Here is a 12,462-nt window from a genome sequence, read left to right on the forward strand (position 1 = left end):
ATGGAACAGAACAGAGCCCTCCGAAATAATACCACACATCTACAACCATCCGATCTTTGACAAACCTGACAAAAACAAGAAATGGGGAAAGGATTCCCTATTTAATAAATGGTGCTGGGAAAACTGGCTAGCCATATGTAGAAAGCTAAAACTGGATCCCTTCCTCACACTTTACACAAAAATTAATTCAAGATGGATTAAAGACTTAAATGTTAGACCTAAAACCATAAAAACCCTAGAAGAAAACCTAGGCAATACCATTCAGGACATAGGCATGGGCAAGGACTTCATGTCTAAAACACCAAAAGCAATGGCAACAAAAGCCAAAATTGACAAACGGGATTTAATTAAACTAAAGAGCTTCTGCACAGCAAAAGAAACTACCATCAGAGTGAACAGGCAACCTACAGAATGGGAAAAAAGTTTTGCAATCTACTCATCTGACAAAGGGCTAACATCCAGAATCTACAATGAACTCAAACAAATTTACAAGAGAAAAACAAACAACCCCATCAAAAAGTGGGCAAAAGATATGAACAGACACTTCTCAAAAGAAGACATTTATGCAGCCAAAAGACACATGAAAAAATGCTCATCACTGGCCATCAGAGAAATGCAAATCAAAACCATAATGAGATACCATCTCACATCTGACTTTTTAATGTCAATCATTAAAAAGCCAGGAAACAACAGGTGCTGGAGAGGATGTGGAGAAATAGGAACACTTTTACACTGTTGGTGGGACTGTAAACTAGTTCAAGCATTGTGGAAGACAGTGTGGTGATTCCTCAAGGACCTAGAACTAGAAATACCATTTGACCCAGCCATCCCATTACTGGGTATATACCCAAAGGATTATAAATCATGCTGCTATAAAGACACATGCACATGTATGTTTATTGTGGCACTGTTCACAATAGCAAAGACTTGGAACCAACCCAAATGTCCATCAGTGATAGACTGGATTAAGAAAATGTGGCACAAAAAACCAAACACTGCATGTTCTCACTCATAGGTGGGAACTGAACAATGAGAACACTTGGACACAGGAAGGGGGACATCACACACCGGGGCCTGTCATAGGGTGGGGGGAGGGGAGGAGAGATAGCATTGGGAGATATACCTAATGTAAATGACGAGTTAATGGGTGCAGCACACCAATATGGAACATGTATACATATGTAACAAACCTGCACGTTGTGCACATGTACCCTGGAACTTAAAGTATAATAAAAAAAAAATTGCTAGCTACAAGGATAGAGCAGCCAGGACTATTTCCCTGAGTTAACTTTAAGTCATGATGCCTGAACCACAACTAGTTATCTAGTTGCAGTTTTTGCAGCTGCACCAGTGCCCCGTGTTCTGCGGCAGGAACTCCTGAGAGAGTTGAGGGCTCTTTTCTTCAGGGAGACACATTTTTCTACTTCTGATGTGTGGGTAAGAGGGCATGCAATGGCAAACTGTTAGGAAATCCCATCTGAGTACTGGAAAAGACCCAAGGAAGCTGGGACTGATTTAGAATAGAGTTCAAATTTATACCTGTCAGATCCCTGCTACCTCAAGCCATGAGTGTTGATGCAGCCAGGCTGTTTTCCCCAGACTAGGGGAATTAAAGATAAGTAAAATCCAAGGAAAAGCTTGCAGGTTAAGTTGGACAGTCTCTATTATTTTCCTGTCACTATATGAGAAGCATGGCTCACTCTCACCTATAAGACCTAACAGAAAACTTTTGTTTATTGTGAGGAAAAGAAAAAAAAAAAGGAAAAATAAAAGAAAAAAAAAGGAGAGAGGAAAAAACAAACTCTTTCTCCAAGTACCTCCTGAAGTGTTCTTTCTGTCTAATGGGGGATGGCAGAATATGCCACCCCAATATATACCACTTCAGCATAAGAATTACTTTGCATTAAAGGCGTTTGGAAGCCAGAGGTGCAGGAAGATGGATTCTGACTTCCTCTTTTCTTTTCAAAAGCATGAGACAAAACGCCCACGTGAAAGATGCCCTCCTTATACCAGAAGAAAAGAAATATCCTTATCACCAGGCACAGGGAGTCGAGGCAGAGAGAATTTTGTACAAAAGGACCTTCATAAAATAACTCTTATCTTTCTTTCGTTTCCCCATATACAGGCAACCCTCATTTTATAGTGCTTTGCTTTATTGCACTTTGCTATATTGTATTTTTTACAACTTGAAGGTTTTTGGCAATGCTCCTTTGAGCAAATGTATTAGTGCTATTTTCTGATGGCATGTGCTCATTTGGTGTCTCTGTGTCACATTTTGGTAATTCTCACAATATTTCAAATGTTTTCATAATTATATCTGTTACAGTGATCAGTGGTCCTTGATATTATTATTGTAATTGTTTAGGGGCACCATGAACCATGCCCATATAAGGCAGTAAATTTAATAGATAAATGTATGCATTCTAACTCCTCCACTGACCAGCCGTTCCCCATCTCTGTCCTCCTTGGGCCTTCCTATTCTCTGAGACACAACAATATTGAAATTAGGCCAATTAATAGCCCTACAGTGAACTCGTGAGTGCTCAAATGAAAGAAAGAGTTGCACATCTCTCACTTTAAATCAAAAACTAGAAATGATTACATTCAGTGAGTAAGGCAAGTCAAAAGCCAAGGTAGGCCAGAAGCTAGGCCTTTTGTGCCAAACAGTTAGCCAAATTGTGAATGCAAACGAAAAGTTATTGAAGGACATGAAAAGTGCTACTTCACTAAAGACACAAGGGATACAAAAGCAAAACAGCCTTATTGCTGAAAAGGATAAAGTTTTCATGATTTAGATAGAAGATTAAACCAAACACAACATTCTCTTAAGCTAATGCCTAAACCAAAGCAAGACTCCAATCGTCTTCAATTCTGTGAAGGCTGAGAGAGGTAAGCAAATTACAAAAGAAAACTCGGAGGCCAGCAGAGGTTGATACATGAGGTTTAAGGAAAGAAGTTGTCTCCATAACATAATAGTGCAAGGTGAAGCAGCAAGTGCTCGTGTAGAAACTACAGCAAGTTCTTCAGAAGATCTAGCTACGATAACTGATGAAAGTGACTATACCGAAAAAAAGATTTTCAATGTGGACAAAACAGTCTTGTAGTGGAAGAATGTGCCATTTAGGATTTTGATAGCTAGAGAGGAGAAGTCAATGCCTGGCTTCAAAGTTTCAAAGGACAGGCTGACTCATATTATGGACTAATGCAGCTGGTGACTTTCAGTTGAAGCCAATGTTCATGTACCATTCTGAAAATCCTAAGCCCTTAAGAATGATGCTAAATCCATTCTGCCTGTGCTCTGTAAATGAAACAACAAAGCATGGATGCCAGCATATCTCTTTACAGCATACTTTACTGAATATTTTAAGCCCACTATTGAGACCTACTTCTTAGAAAAAAATATTTCCTTCAAATTTTACTGCTCATTGACAATGCACTTGGTCGTCCAAGAGCTCTGATGGAGATATACCAGGAAATTAATGTTGTTTTCAAGCCTGCTAACATAGTATCCATTTTGTAGCCCATGGATCAAGAAATAATTTCAAGGAGTAATTTTTCCTTGAAAAATATATTTCTTAAACATGACTTAAAGTTGAAATTACTGCCATGGTTAGTGATTCCTCTGATGGATCTGGGCAAAATACATTGAAACCCTTCTGGAAAGGATTCACCATTCTCAATGTCATTAAGAACATTTGTGATTCAACGGAGGAAATCAAAAGACCACTAATAGAAGCTTGAAAGAAGTTGATTCTAATCCTCACGGGTGGCTTTGAAATGTTCAAACTTTAGTAGAAGTAAGTGTAGATGATTGCAGACGATGAAGAAATTGCCACAGCTACCCTAACCTTAAGCAGCTGCCACCCTGACGAATCAGCAGCCATCAACATCAATGCAAGACCCTCTACCAACAAAAAGATTACAACTCACTAAAGGTAAAGGGTCAGATAATTGTTAGCATTTTGAGCAACGAAGTATTTTTTAAATTAAAGTATGTACATAGTGTTTTCTTAAACACAAATTCATTTATTATAAAATACATGAAAGAGAGTTTCAACTCAGGAAGTTATCAACAGAAGTTTATGTCAACAGAAGTTATCAAGAGTTAGCCACATTTATTTTTCAAATATAATTTAATGAAATAGAAATAATAGTAAAGTTAAAAAGAAAATCTAAAGCTATTTATTTTAATAAGTAAATTATCAGATAAGCTTTGCCAAGTCTAAACAATTGAACAAAAGAGAATAAACATAATAAATCCATAGGAATAAATAATATAAAATATTTTATATTATAAAAGAATAATCTATTTATACCAATACACTTAAAAATAAAAAAATTGTCTAAAATTATTTTAAGAAATATAAACTACCAAAATTGGCTTAAAGAATAAGGCTGGGCACAGTGGCTCACATGTGTAATCCCAGAACCTGGGAGGCCAAGGTGGGAAGATCACTTGAGGCCAGGATTTCGAGACCAACCTGGCCAATGTGCTGAAACCCTGTCTCTACTAAAAATACAAAAATTAGCCAGGTGTGGTGGTTGGCACCTGTTGTTCCAGCTACTCAGAGGCTGAGGCAGAATTCCTTGAACCTGGGAGGTGGAGGTTGCAGTGAGCCAAGATTGTGCCATTGCACTCCAGACTGGGCAACAATAGCGAGACTCTGTCTCAAAAAAAAAAAAAAAAAAAAAAGAATAAGTGATGACCTTAAGTAAACCAATAATTATAGAAAAAAATTGAAAATGTAATTAGGTCCTTGATTTTAAAAGACACTAGTTTAAATTATTTTATGCAGTTGGGTAATGTAAATTTTTTTTAAATTATAGAAGTAATACATGCTCATTTTAATTAATGCAACATACGTAAGTAAAAACATACCTCAAAAACATTGCAGGTTCATCTCTGGACCACCCCAATGAAGCAAATATCAAAATAAAATGAGTCATGCAAATTTTTTTGGTTTCCCAGTGCATATAAAGTTATGTTTACACTACGGTGTAATCTATTAAGTGTGCAATCATATAGAGTCTAAAAAACTAATATGTACTTGGTTTTTTGGGTTTTTTTTTTGGTGGGGGGGGGATGAAGTCTCACTCTGTCACCCAGGCTGGAGTGCAGTGGCCTGATCTTGGCTCACTGCAACCTCCGCCTCCCGGGTTCAAGCGATTCTCCTGCCTCAGTCCCCCTACTAGCTGGGATTACAGGCGTGCGGCACCATGGCCTACTAAATTTTGTATTTTTAGTAGGAACGAGGTTTTACTATGTTGGCCAGGCTGGTCTCGAACTCCTGACCTCAAGTGATCCGCCCACCTTGGCCTCCCAAAGTGCTGGGATTATAGGCGTGAGCCATCATGTCAGGCCTGTACATAGTTTTTTAAGACATAATGCAATTGCACATTTAATAGACTCCAATATAGCATAAATATAACTGTTATATAAACTGGGAAATCAAAAAATTCATGTGACTTTACTGTGACATTTGGTTTATTGCACTGGTACAGAACTAAAACCATATCTTTGAGATGGGCTTTTATTTCATTTACATTTCCACAATTGCTTCTCTTTGTTCAACCTAGTATATAAAGACTTAGCTTGTGCCACTTCTTCAGGCCTTCATTTTCCTTTGGGGGTTCCCACATACATGTAAAAATCTGTATGTTTTCCTGCTGCTAGTCTGTCTTACATCAATTTAATTCTCAGGCCCAGCCAGAGACCCTGAAGGAGTAGAGGTGAAATTTTGCTTTTCCTACACCAGTAATGATCATAATTACCTCCATTCTGAAGATCCACCCACTGAGATGTAGCCCAGCAATGAGGAGCAGATTCTATCTGAAGAACAACCTGAGCCCATTATTTATGAGGAATAGACCCGTATTAAGGTCTGTTGCTGAAGAGACAGAAATGGAGTTAGGACCCACAGACCATACCTCCGCAAACTCTCTGTCTTTGCTTGCCAGAGCATAGAATTGTAAAAAAATGACTGAAGGAGCAGATGCTAAAGTTTCTAGGTAAATACATTGGCAAAAGAACACCAAGCTTGGATCACCAAGGTTCAGGACAGCCTAACTCCTGAGGTACAACCCAGGCAGGAGAACCAGCACCAACAAGAGGTTGGTGCAACCCAGAAGGGGAACCCTTCCTGGTGTCTTTCTCACATGCGGCCATGAGCACAACAGACTGAAACCTCGTTTACTACCAGGTCAGGGAGTCCCAGGATTGTGTGTGAACTAGGAACTTGTAACCATGATGTGCTTTCCCTTTCTTCCCTATTCTGAATGTGAACTTTTATTGTAATTTTTTCCCTTTTACTGTATATTATTGGATTCTTATGTAGATTTCTTACCATGTAGAATTTTGTGAACCTGACTCAAAAGAATACAAATCACTCAAAGATTCTGGACGTAGTAAATTACACCACAGGAAAACTGAAAAAAAGAAATAAAGAAAAAAGAAAAAAAAGGACAGAAAAGAGAATTTTTCGTAGTTTTTAATAACCATTTTTTAACAAGTACCATTATAACAGTACTAATGAAAATCAAACATACTTCAAAATTATTAAACTATATAAGAAAACCCTCTCCCCAAAATCCAACTCTACAATCAAATCTGCTTTGCTTTCTCAACCTTTCCTCCTGATTTTAGTCTTTGTGCATACACAACTGAACATGATATAATCTGAAAATTTCACATATATATATAATCTTGGAGCTAAAAAAAATCATAGTTTTTGTCAAAAAAGCCAAAAAGACCCTGGATCAAAAGTGAATGTAAGTCCTGGCCATGGGTGGTGGCTCACGTTTATAATCCCAGCACTTTGGGAGGCCAAGGCAGAAGGATTGCTTGAGCCCAGGAGTTTAAGATCAGCCTGGGCAATATAGTAAGATCCTGTCTCCACAAAAAACAAACAAACAAACAAACAAACAAACAAACAAACAAAAAATTAATTAGGTGCAGTGGTGCCCACCTGTGGTTCTAGCGACTTAAAAGGCTCTGAGGTAAGAGGATTGCTTGAGCCCAAGAGGTCAAGGTTGCTGAGAGCTGTATTCACACCATTGCACTCCAGCCTGGGCGACAGAGTAAATGCAAGTCCTAAAGGATAATTTGGGCTATCTCCAGTTCAGGAATACTCACATTATGTTTTACATTTCATGTATATGGAAGGCTTCTCAGCAGCTAAGGAGTGGGATGGAGAAGTCATGTATCTTTGAAGATTCATTCCATCCCAACACATCATTTGGTTTCACTGGACTTACCCAGTCCTGATTCTGGGAGTGGTTCATATAACCTACACCTGGCCAATGGACTGCACCCCTCATCCCCACCATGATTAAAGCAGTTGGCTCAGGGAGGGGTAATCATCACTGGCTGAATTACTTTCCTCTAGGTTTGGTAACAAATTACCACTGACTCCAATTTTTAAAGTTCTACTGTGGGTAAAATGCTATCAAACAGCATAGCATGCCACAGAAAAATCTTTCATGAAAGGAAGAGTCAATTGATGTGGCAAACTTCATTGTTGTCTTATTTGGAGGAATTGCCACAGCCAAACCAATTTCAGCCTCCACCACACTGATCAGTCAGCAGTCATTAATATTAATGCAAGACCTTCCACTAGCAAAAAGATTATGACTCGCTGAAGGCTCAAATGATTGTTAGCAATTTTTTTAGCAATGAAGTATTTTTAAATTAAGGTATGTACTTTTTAAAATAACTTTTGTACGCACTGAGAGACCAGGAAAATTTTTGTAACTTGCTTTATTATGATATTTGCTTCATTGTGGTGGTCTGGGATTGAACTCTCAATATCCTCGAGGTATGCCCATATATGTTATAAATATATGTTTATATGTGTAAATGTTATATGTTATTAATTGGTTGACAAAAATATTATGATGAAAGGCTCATATTTCCCCTAGGGACAATGGTTCTTCATTCACTAATTTAGGGTTCCTGATGACTATGAAACAAAACTACCATGAATAAAAAGAACCAAATGTATTTCAATCTATGACATGGTAATACAGTCATGCGCCACATAACAATGTTTTGGTCAATGACAGACTGCATGTATTATAGTGGTCCCATGGATTTTTAATGGAGCTGAAAATTTTCTGTCACCTAGTGGCATCGTAGCCCTTGTAAGATCATACTGCAAGGCATTACTCAAGTGTTTGTGGTCATGCTGGTGTAAACAAACCTACTGCTCTACCAGTCATATAAAAGTACAGTCTTGTGTTACATAACAACAAGGATCTGTTCTGAGAAATGCAGCATTAGTTGATGTCCTCATTGTGCAAACATCATAGGATGTACTTACACAAACCTATAATGGTATAGCCTACTACACACCTGGGCTATATGATAAAGCCTATCATTCTTAGTCTACAAACCTGCACAGCATGTTACTATACTGAATATTGTAGGCAACGGTAAAACAATGGTAAGTATGTGTGTATGTAAACATATTTGGCTAGGTGTGGTGGCTCACACCTGTAATCCCATCACTTTCTGAAGCTGAGAATGGAGGATCACTTGAGGTCAGGAGTTTGAGACCAGCCAGGGCAACATAGTGAGACCCTGTCGCTACAGAATAAAAAATAAGAAAATACCTGGGTGTGGTGGTGCATGCCTGTAGTCCCAGCTACTCAGAAGGCTGAGCTGGGAGGATACTTGAGCCCCAGGAGGTGGAGGTTGCAGTAAGCTGTGATCACACCACTACACTCTAGCCCGGACAACACAGCAAGACCCTGTCTCAAAAAAAAAAAAAAAAAAGACTATGTTACTGGCTTATGTATTTACTATACTGGTCTCAAACTCCAGGCCTGAAGTGATCCTCCCTCCTTGGCCCCTTAAAGTGTCCCAAAGTTCTAGGACTACAAGTGTGAGCCACCATGCCTGGCCAGGGTTTTTTCTTTCTAGAGTCTCTGAGGGAGCATCTGTTCTGTGTCTGCCTTCTAGCTTCTGGTGGTTGTAGGTAATTCTTGGCATTTCTTTGGCTTGTAGCTATATCATTTCAATTTCTAACTCTGTTCTTCACATGACCTTCTTCCCTGTGTGTCCTCTGTGTCTCTCTATTAGCACTATTCTCTTCTTTCTCTTTTAAAGACACGAGTTGTAAATTTATGGCCCACCCTAATCCAGGCTGACCTCATCTGAACTTGATTACATCTGCAAAGATCCTATTTCCAAATAGGGTCACCGTCACACAGGTATTGGTGGTTAGGACATCAATATATCTCTTCTGGGGACACAGTTCAGCCCACTCTACCCCGTTTTCAGTTAAATTAGCTTAAGTGGGTATCTGCTCTTTTCTTGTTCTAAGACTCTCAAAGACAGAACTCCAGTGACCTTCAGCTTCACTCTTCAGTCACCCATTTTCATAGCTCTTACCAAGACCCAAAGTGAGAGTTGATAGTTATCTCTCACTTTCCACAGGAACTTTTTAAACCTAATCTATTCCATTTATAAGTGTTTCTCTTTGTCTTCCCATGCTCATTGATACTTCACTTCCTTTCTGTGGTGAGTAGAGAGGTCCCCACTAATGAAGGATGTGGTAGGTTTCAGTTCAATATCAGAAAGTGCTCCACCTGATATATCATTTTTTAATTATAAAAATTTTCAAAGAGTGGAGAGAACAGTATGTTTTACCCTAATCACCTTTAACAGTATAAATTCAAACACCCCACTCTTATCAAAGCCATTTACTCTTCAAAATGTCCCACCTGGTTTCTCCTGATACATCTGCTCTTTGATCTCACCACAGCCTTCAGCCTCTGCTTTCTCTATTTTCTCCCTTTTTATTTTCTTTCTACATAGCTTACATTCCCTGATCCAAAACAAACTTAATTTTTACTGTCAATATTTTCCTCTTAAAAGCTGTGGAAGGCAGGTGAATTCCTAGGCAGGCAGGGATGTCAGAACTAGGCTGGAAGTCAGAACTTTAAGCCAAGGATAGTCTAAGGCTTGAAAACTGAGATGCCAGTTCTGGATAGAATCCACGGACCAGAGTGAGGACTCCCACTCCCATCTGGCATGCTTCTTTCCAATTGGTCCTTACCTTTCAACATATACCTATCTTTCTGTGATTGGCTGTGGGCCGAATGTTCATTTGCATAGAGTGAAACGTCACTCCAGCCCCCAATCAGTTGTGGGCCGAGCCTTCACTTCTGCCTTCAATACGTTTTTTTACACTATCGTTTCTCTTTCTGAGTGGTGCTTTTTCCAAAACAGCCCCCAGACCAGTCAGCACACTCCTCCTTCCTTCTCAGTCCATAAAGACCCTGACCATAGCCCTGCAGCCAGCAACCATCTTTTGGATCCCCTCTCTGCTGTGAGCTTTTTCTGTTGCTTGATAAATCCTACTCTGCTTTACACACTCTCCAGTGTCCATGTGCCTTATTCTTCTTGGTCATGGGACAAGAACCCAGAACTCACCAAACTGCAGGAGCACAGGAACTGTAGTGCTCCAGCTCACTGAGCTGCTGGTGGCAGGACTAAAAGGGCTGTAACACTTCCTCCAACTTGCCGAAATACAGAAGTGAAGAAGCCACTGGGCACCACTCCCTCCCGCTCGCTGGACAGTGGAAGTAGGAAAGCTGCAACACTCCATTGATCCCTTGCCCTTCAATTGCATCCACTGGAAAAATTCTAAATCCAGATCTGTCTAATTGCCTTCTTCATGCCTATACTTGTGCCCTTGAGGGCTGCTAGAGAAAATTACACCACTTAGGCGGGTATACAGTTCTGACTTCCAGCCTAGACTCTCACGTCTGCTTGGCAGTCCTACAGAGTTGATAGTTATCTCTCACCTTCCATGGGAACTTTTTAAACCTAATCTGTTCCATTTATAAGTGTTTCTCTTTGTCTCCCCATGCCCACTGATACTTCACTTCCTTTCTATGGTGGGTAGAGAGGTGCCCACTAATGAGGGATGTGGCATGCTTCTCTGCCCATTCCATTCCCCAAACCAAAACAGACAGACATACAGATACACACATACTCTCTCTCTTCCTGGAGCCAGAGGCTTCTCAAGGTTAGGAAAAGTAAAAGGAGAATTAGAGTAGCTATACAAGTTTGGGGAAAACCTGATCTTCTTTTAGTATTACAAAGTACAAGAAATACCTTAGCAGTGAGGACCATGTGGTGTCTAAGGCAAGTGCATTGTTACCACACACTGTGCTGCAGCCAACCTCATGGGATGTTCCCTCTCCAGGCTCACCCAGTACCTTATGAATTAACTGACGTCCTGGATAGACTTCTCTCTGCCCTCTGGGGAGCTGTCATTGGATCTTATGATTCACTTTGAGAGCCTTCATCCTCCAAATTCAAATCCTTAAAAACAACAAACAAACAAGCAAACAAACAAAAAAATATGTAACTCCCATAACATCTCTAGTTCTCTAAGTGAATGGGACAGAGGCAGTGTTTGAGCAGAATTCTTCCAAGGGTCTGTATTTGCTGAGATACTTGTGCCCCATATACCTCACAGGGTTACAGTACAATTGGGGATTGTCAAGAGAAAGTTTAAGATTTACCTCTTTGAGGTGCCCACTGCTTTAAAGTCTCTTCTCTTGTTCTTCCAAAGACTTACCAAATATAATGAGATTGCCTGGATACACCACTATGTCCAAAGAATTTATATTTTCAGATATTCTCTCCATATCAACTGCTGGGGTAGCTGGGGTCCCGGAGACACAGCTTCTTTTAGACTTGGTGTTTTTCTTCCACCTAAAGTAGGGTTGACTAATTTTTTTTTCTAAGCTAGATATTTTCTTTTCTTTGTTTGTTTTAATATTTTTATTGAAATAAAACTGCTATTGGCTGGTCTACAGGGTTTTTCTTCCATTTTACCCCCAAGTATATTCAGATATTACATGCTCACTTCCCTGAGTCTGAGGCAGGTGTCTTCAAATAGGTCTAAAATGGCATCAGCCTCCTGAGTAGCTAGGATTACAGGCATATGCCACCATACCCAGCTAATTTTGTATTTTTAGTAGAGACGGGGTTTCTCCATGTTGGTCAGGCTGGTCTTGAACTCCCGACCTCAGGTGATCCGCCTGCCTTGGCCTCCCAAAGTGCTGGGATTACAGGCATGAGCCACCACACCCGTCAGAGAGGTCAGATTACAAATCAGCTACCATTAGCCATGTCTCTGCCTGCATCTACAACAATGATCCACTGGAGGGAAGTATTCTGTCTTGCTTTCTTTGGGGAAGAAATTGTAGACTCAGGGTGATATTTAGTCAATCAAAACTTTCTTTCCTCCTTCAGTATACTGAAGAGAACGTGTTTGTCTTTTTTTTTCTCTCTCTCTCCACTGTAGGCAATAACTACCCAGAGCTCTGTTAGCATAAATTTTATGCAAATTTTATTCAACAATGCTAACCTGGGGAAGAAGAACAAAATTTGTATAGTGGCTTAACAGCGTCAATTGAAGTTTACGTAGTTCGGAGAATTAGTCA

The 12,462-nt window shown here is 39.7% G+C and overlaps 2 annotated features.

Annotated features, from left to right (window-relative positions):
• Positions 1,800-2,094: a silencer, noted in NCBI's record as "tiled region #13076; HepG2 Repressive non-DNase unmatched - State 24:Quies". NCBI's record gives its function as "represses a minimal TATA promoter and a strong SV40 promoter by Sharpr-MPRA in HepG2 cells {active_cell/tissue: HepG2}" and the evidence as "EXISTENCE:reporter gene assay evidence [ECO:0000049][PMID:27701403]".
• Positions 12,158-12,217: an enhancer, noted in NCBI's record as "active region_21608". NCBI's record gives its function as "activates an Ori minimal core promoter by ATAC-STARR-seq in GM12878 lymphoblastoid cells {active_cell/tissue: GM12878}" and the evidence as "EXISTENCE:reporter gene assay evidence [ECO:0000049][PMID:35858748]".

This window comes from Homo sapiens, chromosome 4 (genome assembly GCF_000001405.40).
Source record: "Homo sapiens chromosome 4, GRCh38.p14 Primary Assembly".
Taxonomy (NCBI): Eukaryota; Metazoa; Chordata; class Mammalia; order Primates; family Hominidae; genus Homo; species Homo sapiens.